The sequence below is a fragment of the Homo sapiens genome, chromosome 8 (assembly GCF_000001405.40).
Source record: "Homo sapiens chromosome 8, GRCh38.p14 Primary Assembly".
Classification (NCBI taxonomy): Eukaryota; Metazoa; Chordata; class Mammalia; order Primates; family Hominidae; genus Homo; species Homo sapiens.
The window spans coordinates 132,112,910-132,130,375 of record NC_000008.11 but is presented as its reverse complement, the minus strand read 5'-3'; the positions used below and the strand labels follow the sequence as shown (position 1 = coordinate 132,130,375).

Sequence of the window (17,466 nt, the reverse complement as noted above, 5' to 3'; positions counted from 1 at the left end):
GTCAGGCGCGGTGGTTCATGCCTGTAATCCCAGCATTTTGGGAGGCCAAGGCAGGTGGATCACGAGGTCAGTTCAAGACCAGCCTGGCCAAGATTGTGAAACCCCGTCTCTACTAATAATACAAACATTAGCCTGGCATGGTGGCGGGTGCCTGTAATCCCAGCTACTTGGGAGGCTGAGGCATAGAACTGCTTGAACCCGGGAGGCGGAAGTTGCAATGAGCCCAGATCGCGCCACTGCACTCCAGCCTGGGTGACAGACTGAGACTTCGTCTCAAAAAAAAAAAAAAAACAAAAAAAAAGAATATTTCCTCCCAACCAATAGCAACGATCCCCACCCTCAGAGAAAGTGGTAATTCACAGCTCCTTTGATTTTCCAGGTTCAGGACATGGGGAAGAAGCTGGACTTCCTCGTGGATATGCACATGCAACACATGGAACGGTTGCAGGTGCAGGTCACGGAGTATTACCCAACCAAGGGCACCTCCTCGCCAGCTGAAGCAGAGAAGAAGGAGGACAACAGGTATTCCGATTTGAAAACCATCATCTGCAACTATTCTGAGACAGGCCCCCCGGAACCACCCTACAGCTTCCACCAGGTGACCATTGACAAAGTCAGCCCCTATGGGTTTTTTGCACATGACCCTGTGAACCTGCCCCGAGGGGGACCCAGTTCTGGAAAGGTTCAGGCAACTCCTCCTTCCTCAGCAACAACGTATGTGGAGAGGCCCACGGTCCTGCCTATCTTGACTCTTCTCGACTCCCGAGTGAGCTGCCACTCCCAGGCTGACCTGCAGGGCCCCTACTCGGACCGAATCTCCCCCCGGCAGAGACGTAGCATCACGCGAGACAGTGACACACCTCTGTCCCTGATGTCGGTCAACCACGAGGAGCTGGAGAGGTCTCCAAGTGGCTTCAGCATCTCCCAGGACAGAGATGATTATGTGTTCGGCCCCAATGGGGGGTCGAGCTGGATGAGGGAGAAGCGGTACCTCGCCGAGGGTGAGACGGACACAGACACGGACCCCTTCACGCCCAGCGGCTCCATGCCTCTGTCGTCCACAGGGGATGGGATTTCTGATTCAGTATGGACCCCTTCCAATAAGCCCATTTAAAAGAGGTCACTGGCTGACCCCTCCTTGTAATGTAGACAGACTTTGTATAGTTCACTTACTCTTACACCCGACGCTTACCAGCGGGGACACCAATGGCTGCATCAAATGCATGCGTGTGCGTGGTGGCCCCACCCAGGCAGGGGCTTCCCACAGCCTCTTCCTCCCCATGTCACCACAACAAAGTGCTTCCTTTTCAGCATGGTTTGCATGACTTTACACTATATAAATGGTTCCGCTAATCTCTTCTAGGATACACATTTATCTGCTGTTCTTACTTTTAATCACGATTGGACCAGTACAGGGAGAAATTACTGATGAGCCATGCTATTTGTCTGTTTGGTTGGCTGGTTTGGGTTTTGGTTTGGTAAGCAGAGAAAGTAGTTTAAGTTATTTCTAGGATCACTGCCCTCTTGTGTAAAACGCTCCAGCAATTAACTGTTTTTGAAAGCAAGGAAATAATTTTCTCAACAAAACCACATTGTGTATCAGTGGGGCTGCCTACTGAGCTAACATTAGGAAAGGAATGAGATAGTCATTGTGTCTCTAAAACAAAGAATTTAAACAAATATTTAAGGCAAAACCTTTTAAAAGCTCTCCAAAAGACCTCACTTGGCCTGATGTTACTTAGTATCATGCCTCAGTTTCCTTATCTGTAAAAAGTGGTGGTAATCCCAAGTGTAGCATTTCTGATGAGTTATGAATTGGCAGGGAGAAAACACACACACACACACACACACACACACACACACACACATACACAAAGTTAAAATAGTTTCCAATTTATGTAGCCAAGGACAATGGAATTTATCAGAAGTGAAGTGCCCCTCTGGGCAGGAGCTGAGTTCAGTGCCTTTAAAATGAATTTCCAACTCTCATTTCTTCCCATGATACTGAAGTACAAAATATCCATCTAAAATAGAAATTAAAGTCAAGAAGGCACACAGAAATTTTCTAGTCCAAGGACTTCCTTTTATAAATGAAGAATCTTAGGCTCAGGTAAAGTGACATACCCAGAGTCACTCAGTTGTCCCATAGAGAACCAGGACTCAAAAGTCAGGTCTGCCCACTCTCCCTGACCTTGTTTCCCCTCACCACACCATTCTTCCATTTATATAATGCATCCTAGAGATTGTGTCAAGATATATGACTTTGTGTCGCGTGGAAAGCACCCAGTTTATCCAGCAGGAGGGGGATTTCCACTTTTATTGCAAAACATGCTTGCTTGATGCAATGCATTTCAGATCTAGAAAAAAATAATGCAAGCAAGCTACATTTACAGATGTGTAAACAGGCAAAATTTCCAGAACCGTCCAATTTTACTTTTCCAAATTTATGGAACCAACCCAGATTTTTTAAATGAAAATACTAAAACCATATGTAACCGTAAGACAAGCTAAAATGTAAGCAGACAGCCTGGGAAGCACTGCCCTACTGTACAGGTGTGATATTAAGCACAAGCCATCCTCTGGCCTCTTATGAGATGTTGTTATTCTCTGAAAAACTTTGATGGAAAAGGTTTCTGTTAGGCTTAGACTGAATTAGCTAAATGACCATGCCACAGTATTATTGTATCACTCTTCTCACACACCTAGGCACTGGTTGTGGATAGTTGCCATGGTGACAATCAAGATAATCCAGATGACCTAAACAAATGTCTGTATGCAGCTGACACTGCTATTCTCCCTCACAGTCTTGTCAAGAGCCACAGTAGCTATGGCAGACATTTGGTTGATGGTTTCATCATTTCCTAATACGAGAGTCTGGCACTATGTTGGAGAGAGGAATCACTTCCTCAGAGATAGGTTCCTTTCAACTCACATGTCAACAGTTACTGTACAAAAAGCTCAGAATACAGTAATGATTAGAGCTTGACCCCTGACTTTAGGAACTTAGAACCAAAGCCCAAAGTCCCAGGCCAAGGGCAGACATTGTGAGCAGCAGAAGGGTGTTTTTTATGGAGAGCCCCATAAATGGATGGGTGTAGACCTTGAAGTCTGAGATGGGAAATATACCAGAATGCTCAATGCATCAGACATGAAGCCCCACGGGCTTCCATTTGACATGCTGGCAATCTGAAGGACAAAGGGCATGGGTTATTTGGGCCTTTTCCCCACTCCTTCAATATGGCTGAAAGTGCCAGTGGGGATTACAACCTAAGAAACCCTATGCCCCTTCCTGAGGGCTTGATTATTGAATCCTGATCTTCCTGGAATCTTTCACTTGAGATGATCACCTGCCTAACATCCAACATGTTACTATGCTCTTCTTTATGTACATGAGTTACTGGAAACCAACAATAAAGGAGAGTGAGTCATACTCTCCACATATGCGCCAATTAATTTTTTAACTTACTTATTAGTATTCTTGAAGAACTTACTATCTTAAGTATTTTACCAATAGATGATGCATTTTCCAGCAACTCAATGGAGTTCTACCTTAAAGTATTTACCATTGATCCAAAATTGGAGGAACTACCTTAGATTCTTTTAATAACCTAGAAAGGATTGGAGCTTGTATTATTTCCTAAACCATAGGCAGGCAGTCTAGCTTCCCTGCTGGATCATAAGACCAGGACAGCAGAGATTGGGTTTGTATTGATCAGTAGTAGGGAAGTATTGATTGTCTAACATCTAGTAAGTTGTCTTTATCAGTATAGACATAGACAAAATACATGTTTTATGAATGAATAAATAATAAGAACCTTAAGAGCTGTTTTTTTCCCATTTAAGAAAACAAAAAGGAAAAGAGAAAAATGATCTTCTGGAATAACTCTGCTTTGATATTCTCCTTTTGTTCCCCAAAAAATATATTCCAGAAAGGCAAACCAAACCTGCTCAAGTTGCCTATGCACAGACAATCTCAACAATATGGCTCACAGTGAGCAAGCAGAAATTCAGGGTCTGGAATTGAATGTGAGTTATGGGAAGAAACAGTGTGTGCTTTCACAAAGATCCTTTTGTCAGACAAGGGAACAGCATGATAATCCAATGGAACTGGTTAACATGACCCAAGATGACATGACCACAGATATACTAGTCGTTCTGAAACTTGCCCAAGAAATTGCAATCGTTTCAGCAGAACTCCATGAAATATTGACAAATTAATTCCATCATCAAACTAGGAGTGATATTATCAGGTAAAACTATGATCTCATGTATGTATTTGGTCTTTCTGGGTCACAATGTGACATGAAAAATTTTAAAGGTCATATTTTAGCAAGATCAAAATGAATTAGATAAATCAACTTCACAAATGTTAAGCGAAACATGATCCTATTGAGCTGAGAAAGAAGTACTTGAGATCGTTTGAGTTTTGACTATCAAATGTCAGCACAAAAGCAAATATCAAAAGCTTAAGAAAAAAATTATTTCAGGAAAAGAAAAACACATCAAATTGAGAAAGTGTTGTTGAATAACTTTGTTTTTAGAACTGGAAATTTAGGCTTATTAGACATGACATTGATATTACAAAGCCCTAGTTTTCATGAAAACATAACTAGATAACCCCAAGGTGTATAGGTTAAAATGAACTAATTAATCAACAATTATGCATCCTGTGTCTATTTTGTGCAAGGTACTTCCTAGACACTGTAGTTTGAAAGAATAATTTCCTGTAGAAAAACCTAATCTAATAGGACCTACTCATAATTTGGCAAAATCATCCTCATAATTCCATGCTACTGAAATGGGGGTGTAATAAAGAAAAAATCATTTGTTTATTCATTTAACAGGGTTTATTAAGCACCAATATATGCCCAGAACTTTGCAGTGCACTGGAAGTTCAGAGATAAGAAAACCACAGTTTCTGCCATCAAAATGCTAGGAATCTAGAGGTCTCAAACATCAGAGGTCCCTTCAAACTATGTCTACCAGGAAAATAAAATACCTGATTTCATCCCTGCAAACAACTCTATACAGACAGAAATGCTTCCTAGCTTGGAAACTATAGAAAATTGAACATGAAAATGAGAGCAAAGGTTCTACATCAAAATGGCAATGATCCAATCAGCCCAGTCAAGGCTGAGTGGGTTGAATGGGGACTTCGAGTTTGGATTCAATGCTTTGAACTTCATAGCTCCAGAGAAGCTGTGCAAAAAGGGGGGATTCTAGGGAATCTGAGGAAGATTGTTGGAGAAACCAGCTTTCTTCTTGTCTCCTAATCCCTGCTAAGATTGATACCAGTCAAGGAGCTGAGTTACTTTCATTTCATTATGTTGACCAAGAGAAGCTTATGATACAGACTATGACACAGCACCTATTTCAAGAGAAAGATGTTACTCTACTTATGGGAACCTGCAGATCAAATTCTCCTGGGGCAAGAGAAGAAATTTGTTCAGCAGCCTAAGAAGTCAACTGTACTTTGGACAGTGCTGCCAAACACACCCCAGGATTCTCCCACCCCTGTGCTTTCCCAGAAGATGCCACATAGCTGGTATTTGGTTTTCATGAATAACCAAAGATTCTTCTTTGCTTCCTGAACCCCAGGCATCCTTAGGAATTTGCTTCATGTCCTCACTTGTCCTTGAAGGCTTGTTTTTCAGGATGAACTTTTAAAGTCTAAGTTGTTTATATTCAAATCAACCCAATGCTATTGTTGCTGATATTAAACCATTCCAAACTGAGCCAACTGGCCCCTAAACAAGCCAGCAGGCAGCCCCTCACTAATGCCCAGTTTAGAACATGTTAGGACCAGGCTATCTGCATAGCTTTAGTGGTTTTAGAAGCCAGTAATGGCAGTGTAAAAGAGGAATCATACAGAGATGACCTGGAAGAAAATTTGAGTTTCAGCACATTCAAAAGCATTTGACTCTTCTGCCGTGTTTTGATTTTCAAGTGAGACAATCAATGTACACACAAAGCCTCTAGTACAATGACTGATGCATACTAGGGACTGTTATTTATGTTATTTTTTTACAGTATGCATGGACTTCATTGTCTCAGTCTTTGGTGTTACTTATAAACTCTAAATTTACACCAAAAAAATTTTTTTTCAGAAAAAGAATCGTGGAGAAACAATCCTAATTATTAAATCAAATGCTTTCACAATTGCTTTTTAAATAAGTACATCTCTGCAAATAAAAATGCTTGCTCTTGTCTACCACAATAAAGAACAGAAGGAATCTTGGAATGAAGAGAGGCAGGAATGTTGGATCTCAGTGGCTGAGTTGTGGCAATTCCATTGGACATATAGTACCAGATGTTGCACCATCTGGATGATGTGTAGGAGATAAAGCCAAATTGCAAAAATAAAAGACTCATGATTTCCCAAGGAAAGTCAACTGTGCATGGTGGCTATCAGACAACACCCTAGCAATGAATGGGGGAACTTGCAGAAGAAAGAGTTAATGCTTGCTTAAACCTTCCCTGGGGAGATTTGTTCCCAGGCTTTCACGGCTTTAACCTCAGCAACCCTGTAAGAAAATTGTGATTCATATTTTGATTTGTTATCATAGATGCAAAGAGACATAATTTCATGGATTCTAAGATACACAGAGCAAGAAGAGATTTTGATCACCCAGAACAACCACCTGTCTTTTTAGATCAAGAAGCAGAAGCTCAGAGCAAAGAACATCACACCACGTCCCTCAGTGATTGAAGCAGTGATTGAGTCACAGAATAAATCTGGAACTCAGGTCTTCTGATCTTTGCTCCAGATGTTAGAGACAAAACTAAAAGTAAAATACCAAGTGAAATCAAAGCATCACGATTGAGCCCAGAACATGAAAAAGAACTTCCTGGCCCACTTGAGAAACTGTTAAACCGGACATACCTTTGGGGACTTCTTCCCTTCTCTGGAATAAGATTGATGTTTCCATGCTGTGAAAGACGATGATGTTCCTTCTCCCAGATTCCTGCTGTCTTCAAAAGGCCTAGCAAAAACCACTGCTGCTGGGTGCAGTTGAGAAAGGGAATGAAGAACAATCCCATGGCCATGCAGGCACTCCTCCCCTCCACCTCTCTGCCCTCCACCCCTCTGCCCTCTCCTACCTTGTTCCTTCTTGGTCCTGCCATGTTTGGACTGGTTCACCTTTTTGGCCCATCACTTGGGCTCATTCAGCAACAGTCATGCCTTAGGTTGCATCCTCATCTATAGGCCAATTAAACAGGGTTTCTTCTTGATAAATCCCTATGGTTTTGATTTTAGGAAGTCAGGCATGATTTCTTTTGGGATCTATATGACCCAAAGTGGCCAGTTTTACCAAAGGTGTCCCTTTGCACTGGGATCTCTGGGTCTCATTTGAACACAGCTTGGGTCCTCTTGCCTTGTCCCAGAGAATCCCCATGTTGTCAGGACATAAGCAGATACTCTAGGGCCTTCACCAAAAGCTACAAAGAAGCAGACAGGACTCAACTTAGGACATCTTATGGTTATGTAACTAAGAGATTATTTTAGGAAGTAAACAGGCCTCTGTTGGCTCAAATGAACATCTTCATTGTTAGTTTCCACTTACATTGTTCTCGGGATAAATCGGCCAGAATTTGGCAGGGCTCCCCAGCAGTCCTTGTGAATCCCTGTGGTAGGATGTTTCAGTTCTCCTGAGTCAGGCTGAAGTGAAAGCTCCTAAGAGATATTCAGAAAGAAGGATGGTCAAGTTCTAGAACAACAATAGTTGGCCCAGTAATTTTAAAGATTGTCATTCTACCTAAGCCTTCATCCTCCAGATAGCACTGTTATGGGCTTAAAATAAGCTTCAAGGGAAATAATGAATTTCTTTGACACCGCCAAAAATCGGCTGTATATAAGAATAACTTGAGAATGGCTTACAATGAGGTAGTCAAAAGCCCAGCTCAGTGCTCAGGAATGTATTTGTAATTCCTCTTAGACTTGTCGAATGGACTGCAATTTGATACCTAAGAGTAATAAAAAATGAGACCATATTTTATGTTAATGTTCCCTTCTCTTCCTCTGCCCACAAAAGTGAGGTCAGGGAAGGGGAGAGAAACTTATCCTAAGCACTCCTTATGAGTTGCTTGTGACATGATAGCTCTCTCTAAAGTTCATGCAATCCTCATCGCAACCCCATGAGGGAGATGTTATTGTCTCCATCTTATAGATGAGGAAACTGAAGACAAGACCTTGTCAAAGGTCACACATTGTAAGAAGTAGAGCTGCATATTCAACCAAAGCCCGTGTACCTGGAAAGCTCATTCTCTCTCCCCCTTCTTCCTCTCAAATCAGGCCCTAGCTCCTCCACAATGCTTCGGGCTTCTACGTTCACTCAGCTTTACAGTAAAATGATCACAGACCCATGAGTTCCCTGGAGAGTAGAGTGATGCCTGGGTCAGCTGTTCCTCTTGTCTGTTCAGCAGGTCCTTTGAGTGGCTTCACAATCCAGCTGTCAGTGGCAGAAAATAATGCCTCATAAATTATTCACCTGGTTCACATTGGAATCCATTAGCTCTCGGGGCTTGGTGTGGCTGCAGATCATCCACAAGTGCCCCTTGTTCTCTGCCCCCAAGGAGCTCCTGTCATTGTTTTTAACCAAACAAGTTCAAATATCTCCACGTCTCTGCTGACTCTGGTCTTTTGTCTCTAGACTGTACCTTTATTTCTGAGCTCTGAAATTCTGCAGAAACAGGTGAGTCTATAAAAACATTCTGTGGGAGGCCAAAAGCTCAGAACAGTTGTGTCTCTCTTTCTCAGTATTAAAAGATCAAGGTTTCCCATGGAAGCCAACCTGATCTGGTAATTGGGCCCTTCTATACCCCTCTGAATACTTTTCCAAGGAGGGGGCAGTTCCCACCCCCATAGTTCCCCTGAGGGTTAAGAGTCCAGGTGGTGGCCAAGTTGCAAGATTTGGGGCAGCCATTTTGCCAAGGATCAGAGATTTGCTGTTGGAGAGGTGAAGTCGGCTCTGTGCCATCCTGAAAAATCAACTTAGAAAGATAGGTGGACTTCATCAGATTTGTCAGTCCTTCCTTGTTTTAAAGAGAAAAATGATCTCTGCCTTGCTTCAGATAGGATATGGCTATTTTTTTTCCTTCTTTTTCTAATGTAGCAGTGATGGAAAACACCAGTCTTTGAAGAACAAATGGAGGTTCCCAGTGACATGAATCCATTATATTTGATTTTGGATTGTATTTTTTAACCCCTTTTTATGGCATAGAATTCTGGTGCCTTGCTCCCTGGGTTTGTCTCTGTGCTACGAGTAGGCTTTCTTCACATTCTGGCTTACAGGGGAACACAACTATTCCACAAGTGGCCTTTAGTGCTCTTTATAATATGATTTCCTGTAATTTTTAAACTGTATGTGTAATTTATATTCTGGCTCTGTCCAATATTTGAACAACTTTAATAGGTTGATTTCCATATATATTATGCAAATAATTCTTACCTGATTTTTTATGTTCTATCTTAAATAAATACTGCACCACTTATTAATAAATAGACATTTCAGTGATTATGTGGAGGAATGTTATTTGCTTCAGAACAACTTTTATGAGATTGTATTATTTATCATAAACAACACTGACTGTTGCTAACGGAAAAGCTCTAAATATCAACGGCCTAATGCAACAAAGATTTATTTCTTGCTCAAATCACAGTCCAGTGTAGATTGTCTGAGTTTCAAAGAGTGATGCAAGGATTTGGGCTACTGAAGAGCTGGAGTCCTTCACTTCTAGCCAGATTGCCAGGAGGAGAGGCTCTAGAAAAGCCATACCCACATCTTCCTGCCTTGGACTCAAAGTGACTCATCATTCCCACTCACAGACTCATTGCTTAAACTCAGTCACATGGTATGGGGCAATCTGCAAGGGAGGCTGGGAAATGTAGTCTTCATGAATGCCCAGCATGAGGAAATGTGTTGAATATATTTCTTTGCTCACCACAAGAATACTATGATTGATCCTGTAGATCTCCTTGTTAGTATTGAGTAATGACTACGTCTAACCCAAGTGTAGTTGTTGCACAGGGAATAAAGTAAGGGAACCACAAAGTTCCCCTGGGAGTCATTGGAGTTACAAATATATATGTGGCAGCAGTTTAATAGCATAAAGTGTTGGCAAGAGTTATCTACTAGTGGTACACATTTCAAATGCAGCAAACAAGAACATGTCCTAAATATTTCTCTATTATCAATTGGACCATTGGTGGGTATAATCCCTTCATAGGCCAGTTTGCCAACTCTGTTTCCTTAAACATTTGGGTATTGATTAGAATTCTTGTTTTTTTTCTTCTATTCAGTTCACTTCAAGAAACATGTATTTAAGAAATATTAATTGGATATCTACCATATACCAAGCATCGGAGATGCAGTATTTTACAATTTAATGTGGTATTGGCCTTAAGATCATTTCAGTTCTGTGAGAAGCGTGATGAATGAGATAATCAAGGGTTCTGTGGAAACACAAAGCATGGCACTGGCTCATATTAGAGGTATAGAAAACGCTTCATGCAGAGCATGAGGTATGAATGGAATATTTAAGGATGACTTCACAAAGCCAAAAATGAAGAAGGAAGTAGAGAAGACAGGCCTGCCAGACATTGGGAAGAGGATGTGCAAAGAGGCATGAGACAGGCTCAGTTTAGAAGTTCTGTTCAAAGCAAAGTTGCATTTTTACATTCTTGTTCTTATGGTCTCCATTGCCTCTGGCAAGCAACTCAGTGGGATTTATGCCCTGGGTAAACAGGGAGCATTCCAGATGTAGTAAGAAGGCAGTGTGCTTGGAATGCAGAAAGCAAGAAGGAGACTGATCCAGGCAGATGAGGCCTTGAAGGTATATTAGGGCTCTTTGGAACTTTCTGTCCTTAAGTTAAGGAGATCACGGTGCAGTGAGGAAATCTCTTCCCAGATCCACGGTCTGAAACTGCACCCTCCCTTCTGACTTCTGCCTTCCATCCTGATCATGGTTCTCAGAATTCAATTTTGAACTTTTCCTTTCAAAGAAACTATTCCTCTCGTATCTAGAGACTGACAAGGTTCTCTCAGCTGCCTGGTCTCAGTTCCTCTCATTAGGAGAAAGAATCATACTGCCTTTTTTATTGGTAACTAATGCCATCGCCCAAGAACTCATGTCCTACCCTCCTACTTCCACTCCCTACAATTCCACTCCCTCCCATGGTCCCATTTTGGGGACTTGCAGCACCGGCCAACATAGCGATCTAATCTTTGTCCTCAGAAACTATCATGGTGACTGTAAGTGCTAAAGAATGAAACAATGAGTAAATGCGCTACATTTTAGGTGTGTTATCTATTGCTACACAAATATTGCCACAAACTTAGTGGTTAAAAACAATACAAATTTATTATCTCATAGTTTCTGCTGACCAGGAATCCAAGAACAGCTTAACTGGGTCCTCTGCTTTAGGGTCTTACAAGATTCAACCAAGGTGTTGGCTGGAGCTGTGGTCTTATCTGAGGCTCAACTGGGGAAGAATCCACTTCTGTTCTCACATTAGGAACAATTTAGTTCTTTGAGGGTTGTTAGACTGAGGACATCAGTTTTTTGCTGGCTGTTGGGCAGAGATTGCTCTCAGTTCCTTGTCACATAGCCTTCTCCATAGGTCAGCTCACAACATAGCAGCTTGCTTCATCAAAATGAGCAAGGGAGAGTCTGCTGGCAAGATGAAAGTTGCAATCTTATGTAACATATCATAAAACTGACAGCCCATTACCTTTGCCATATTTTATTGATTAACGGGAATTCACAGATTTTGCCTATGCTCAAGGGGAGGGTATTACTACATAAGATATAATTGAGACCATCTTAAAACCTGTCTGCCACACTAGGTAACTAGGGCATTCTCAAAGTTAGCATGAACATGGTATTGTCTTTAGGGACTGATGAAGCAAATATTAGAGCTCAGAAACCTCCCTCCAGCTAATAAGGGTGATTGCTTAATCTCTGGACCTAGGCTTTATCAGCCTCTCCCAAGCTCAGTTCTGTGAGACATAAGAATAATAGCTAATATTTACTGAGCACTTACATGTGCCAGACATTTTACTTAGTATTCTCTGTGAATCATCTCATTTACTCTTCACAATAAATCTTGGCACTCAGAACTATTATCATCCCTACTTTATAGATAGGGACACTGAACTATAGAGAATTTAGTCATTTGTCCAGGGTCACATAGCTAGTAAATGGCACAGCCAGGATTCAGAGCAGGAAGTCTGACTCCAGAGCATTTATTCTTAGCTACTAATCCATTAGAATCTTTTATTTTGAATAAAAGTCCTTGCTAGCTAAGCAGGGGATAAATATGTTTATATTCATTTAATTTACCTAAGTTTTCTCACTCAAGTTCCTTTCCTGCATGCTTCTCCAGGGGTTATATAATGTGTGGTTGTCTCAGTTAAGATCCAGGTGGAGAAATAAGAAAGTCATACACATACTACGTAAGTGGAGGAGATTTTAATAAAGGGTTTGCTTACAAAGATTTGGTCATAGTTTAGTTAAATCAAATTGGCATGGTACAGTCCTGCAAAGCTAGCAACAGCCCGACAAGGGCCAGAACCCAGATGGAGCTTTATGGAGAGGGCCATGTGATAGGGACTATGACCTTGGGCATTGGACACAGCAATCTGGTAGTGAACCAGCAGGGAGGGAGCTAAGGGAATAAAGACTGCAACCTCACTCTCTTTCCCTCTTCTGATCCTCTACTGGTATCTACTGTTGCCTGAACCCAACAGAAAGCCAGGGAGGAAGGAAGACTGCTACATAGCTTTAGGAAACAGAAAAGTAACTAGGATGAAATCATGGCACGAGTGAGCTCACCACCCAAGGGGCTCTGTGATAAAAAAGCAAAGCTTGGAAAAGCATGAACTTTGGGAAAGATCTGCCTTGAAAGGTATGCAGAGGAAGAGGAAAATGTAAGGAGCGTCCAAGAAACCATGATCAATGTAGATAGAAATGAAAAGAGGGTCATGGAATTAAAAGGGGGAGAAATGAGAGGGGGTGGCCATCATATAGAGTAATACCAAGATGTTGAGGTAACGCAGGATATGGATAGGAAAGAGCCCACTGAATTTATGTAATATAGGTAAAGTTGAGGAACTCTTTTAAAAGAAAGGCAAAGAGCTGCAGGAAAAATGAAGGTCCAAGTGTTGACGAAATCAATGACAAGTAAAGAGAGTTTGTTATCGGTTGCAGGAGGGAATGATAGGGGAGGCTTGAGTATATTTATAAAATGTGAGAAAAGAAGGGTTGAGAGGGAAAGAATAAAGACAAAAGAAAGAAAATAGGTAATCGATGGCATAAAGACCCAGGGGAAGAAAATAATCAAATACAAAATAAAACCCATAGCCGCAAAGACAACACAATGGGAATTGAACACCTCCTTGGTACCAGCCACTACACAGGTTTAATTAAAGTGTTTTAAAATGTTTTTATTTTATTTTATTTTTGAGACGGAGTCTCACTCTGTCACCCAGGCTGGAGTGCAGTGGTGCAACCTTGGCTCACTGCAACCTCCACCTCCTGGGTTCAAGCAATTCTCCTGCCTCAGCCTCCCAAGTAGCTGGGATTACAGGTGCATGCAACCACACCAGGCTAATTTTTGTATTTTTAGTAGAGATGGGGTCTCACCATGTTGGCCAGGCTGGTCTCAAAGTGATCCACCTGCCTCGGCATCCCAAAGTGCTGGGATTACAGGCGTGAGCTACCATGCCCAGCCTAATTAAAGTGTTATTCAGTCACTAAAATTTTAAGTCATTGTAATTCCCATTTTATACATGGGGAAATTGAGGCTCGGAAACATAAAGAAATCTGCTCAAGGTCAAACACTAATAAGGGAAAGAGTCACAATTTGAACTTAACCAGGACCACCTACCCCTGAGTCTCAGGTTACTTCCTTTGGAGAAACTTCACTTCTCAGACCACGTGGGCTGAAGAAAGAATAAGTGAATCAAAAACACTGTGAGTTGATGGGAGAGGAAATTAGTAAAGCTTATATAAGTTTTCCTCTCTCTACTGTCAGTACAGTGGGAAGGAATGTTTCTTCATGTGAGAGAAAGAACCTTGAGAGGGTTACTTAACCCTTTTATGGTAAGCATCTGTAAAATGGGGAGAATTATACCTATCTTGAAAGGTCATTATCTGGAATGATGTCAGTAGAGTACTTAGCAAAGGATCTAGGACACAGAAAATGTTCAGTGAGTGATAGCTTTTGACTCCATCCCATGCCCACACAACAAGTTGTCTTAATTTGGGCGTCCACAAAAATAGAGATGAGATGTTGAGTGTAGGTGGTTTATTCAGAAAGCATTCCCAGAAAACACAACTTAGAGAGTGGAGAGATGAAACAGGGGGAAGAAAAGTCTCTGATAGAGAAACAGAAGCACTGCCAATGAAGGTGGAGAGCTGCCAGCATGCTGAGAATTATCTATGAACTGCAGGTGAACTCAGAAGTAGGGAGGAAGGACACTTGCAGGATACCATCAGCATCTGGCACATAAGCCTACTTGAAAACCAGACATACACAAAAATAAACAAAAACCCATCCTGGTTGCCACAATTTACTCTGTAAATCAAAGGACAAAGATGGCTAACACTGGGCAAGCTGGAAGTGATACACTCATGGACACAATTCACTGTGGAAACATTGCCTGTAGCCTCTGAGAACCAGGGTAGACTGCTCTTCTAGAACACAACAATCTGGCTGCAAAGTCCATGTCTAGCATCACAAAGGCGTATGGACAACTTTGTGGTTATGGTAAGTGTACCCACTCTGCAACTGCATATTTCTGTCCAAATAAAACTTACCCACTTCAAGCCTCAGGTGACTGTATGACAGTGAAAAAGCCTAAAAATTTCCTTCATCTGCACAAATGCAGCAAAAGCCCATTCATAGCCTTACATCCCAGATATTCTGGGAACTTGTTCTTGTTTCTGATAATTTCAGCTTCCAACAATGAGCATGGGCATCCAGTTGACCAAGGACCCAGTGATTTCTCCTCACTGAAGACATGTAAGGTGTCTCCCCTGAGAAAAGTCCAATTGTCCCATGTCCTGTCCCCACATCAGATATGAAAATATTCCCAGCAGTTTATCTTCTGGTTCTGGGTAGGTCTACCTCAGGCCAGTGCAGGGCAAGGGAGTTAGCAGAAGGAAGAGCAATGACAGAGGAGATTTGAGAAGTATCAGGGGTCAGGCCATGAAGGCCCTCATGGGCCATTATGAGGTTATTTGTTTTTACTTTGAATCAAGAAGGAAGTCATTGCAAAGCTTTGAGTAGAGAGATAGCAAGATCTGATTTATGTTAAAAAGAGTTTCTCTGGCTGCTGTATTGAGAATACACTGAAGGAGGCAAGAGCAGAGAACAAGAGATTAGTTAGGAGCAATACTGCATTTGCAGTAATTGGTTCAATGAGAGTCAAGAGAGGCTTGGACCCAAGTGAGAGCAGTGGAGGAAGTGAGAAATGTTAGAAATCTGGATACATTTTAAGAGCAGAGATGACAAAATTTACTGATGGAGTAAATGTGAGATATGAGAGGAGAATAGGATTATTGCAAAGTTTTTTGAGTACCATAATGAGGGAGGGTATCATGCAGATAGGGTAGATTGGGGAAGAGTCAGGTTTTGCAAGCAGAACATGAGTTTGGTTTTTTATGCGTTAAATTTCAAATGCATATGAAACATTTGGTGGAAATATCCAGCAGGTATTTAAGTATGGAGTTAAGGAGACTGTTCAGGGCTGAAGATATCTCTGTCTATATCTATATCCATACCCAAATTTATGCAGTCATGCACCGCATAATGATGTATCAGTCAACAAGCGACCGCATATAGGATGATGGTCCCCTAAGATTATACTGGAGCTGAAAAATTCCTATCGCCTAGTGATATTGTAGCCATCCCAGTGTCACAGTACAGTGCATTACTCATCTATTTATGGTGATCCTGGCATAAACAAACCTACTGCACTATCAGTTGGATACAAATATAGCACATACAATTATGTACAGTACATAATAATTGATAATGATAATTAATGACTATGCTACTGGTTTATGTACTTATTATACAATACTTATTTTAGAGTGTACTCCTTCTACTTATAAAAAAAATTTACTGGCCAGGCATGGTGGCTCATGCCTGTAATCCCAGCACTTTGGGAGGATGAGGCAGTTGGATCACCTGAGGTCAGGAGTTCGAGACCAGCCTGACCAACAAGGTGAAACCCTGTCTCTACTAAAAATACAAAAAAATAACCAGGCATGGTGGCAGGTGCCTGTAGTCCCAGCTACTTGGGAGGCTGAGACAGGAGAATTGCTTGAACCTGGGACACAGAAGTTGCAGTGAGCCGAGATCACACCACTGCACTCCAGCCTGGGTGACGGAGCGAGACTCTGTCTCAAAAAAAAAAAAAAAAATACTATAAAGTCTTAGAGCGGTCTTTCAGGAGGTATTCTAGACAAAGGCATTGTTTTCCTAGGAGATGACAGCTCCATGTGTGTGATTGTCCCTGAAGACCTTCCAGCAAGACAAGGTGGGGAGGTGAAAGACAGTGATAGGGATGATACTGAACTTGCGTAAACCTAGGCTAATGTGTTTGTTTGTGTCCTAGTTTTTAACAGAAAAGTTTAAAAGAAGAAAAGAAAAGTAAAAAGTAAAAAAGAAAAATTAAAAACAGGAAAAAGCTTTTAAAATAAGGATATAAAGAAAATTTTTGTACAGCCGTGCAATATGTTTGTGTTTTAAGCTAAGTTATTACAAAAGAGTCAAAAGGTTTTAAAAAAATTTTGTTTATAAAGGAAAAAAACTACCGTAAGCTAAGTTTACTACTTATAGCAAGGTTAATATTTTCAATAAATTTAGCATAGCCTAAGTGTACAGTGTTTATAAAGTCTTCAGTCCTGTGCAGTAATTTCGAGGCCTTCACATTCACTCACCACTCACTCACTGACATCCAGAGCAACTTCTAGTCCTGTAAGTTCCTTTCATGATGAAGTGTTCTTCTACACAGGTGTACCATTTTTTAATCTTTTATACTGTATTTTTATTGTACCTTTTCTATGTTTAGATACACAAATGCTTACCATTGCATTACAGTTGAGTACAGTATTCAGTATAGTAATGTCTGTACAGGTTTGTAGCCTAGCAGCAATCGGCTACACCGTATAGCCTAGGCGTGTAGTAGGCTATACCATCTAGGTTTGTGTAAGCATACTCTATTGATGTTTGCATGACAAAATTGCCTAATGACACATTTCTCAGAACGTATCTCCACTATTAAGCAATGATTGACTCTTTGTATCTATCTATTCAACGACTTGTAGGTAACATTTAAAACCATGAGACAGAATGAGATCCCCAAGTGAACAAGTATAGAGAGAAAAGAGAAGACAATCAAAGACTAAGCCCTACAACATCAAGAGGCCAAGGAAATGAGAAGGAACGAGCAAAGG

The 17,466-nt window shown here is 41.3% G+C and overlaps 1 protein-coding gene across 5 annotated transcripts in view, besides 2 other annotated features; it reads left to right on the top strand.

The window, feature by feature from the left end:
- KCNQ3 (potassium voltage-gated channel subfamily Q member 3) overlaps positions 1–9,515 on the top strand; it is a 360,235-nt gene extending 350,720 nt beyond the window's left edge. For all 5 annotated transcript variants that reach the window (XM_047421769.1, NM_004519.4, XM_011517026.3 and 2 more), the window contains exon 15: positions 380–9,515. In XM_047421769.1, the coding sequence (XP_047277725.1) occupies positions 380–1,114 (735 nt within the window). In that variant the 3' untranslated portion in view covers positions 1,115–9,515. The remainder of the gene's footprint in view (positions 1–379) is intronic.
- Positions 542–1,042: an enhancer, noted in NCBI's record as "H3K4me1 hESC enhancer chr8:133141581-133142081 (GRCh37/hg19 assembly coordinates)". NCBI's record gives its function as "activates a minimal SCP1, AML or CMV promoter by ChIP-STARR-seq in primed H9 embryonic stem cells {active_cell/tissue: H9 hESC(primed)}" and the evidence as "EXISTENCE:reporter gene assay evidence [ECO:0000049][PMID:30033119]".
- Positions 1,043–1,543: an enhancer, noted in NCBI's record as "H3K4me1 hESC enhancer chr8:133141080-133141580 (GRCh37/hg19 assembly coordinates)". NCBI's record gives its function as "activates a minimal SCP1, AML or CMV promoter by ChIP-STARR-seq in primed H9 embryonic stem cells {active_cell/tissue: H9 hESC(primed)}" and the evidence as "EXISTENCE:reporter gene assay evidence [ECO:0000049][PMID:30033119]".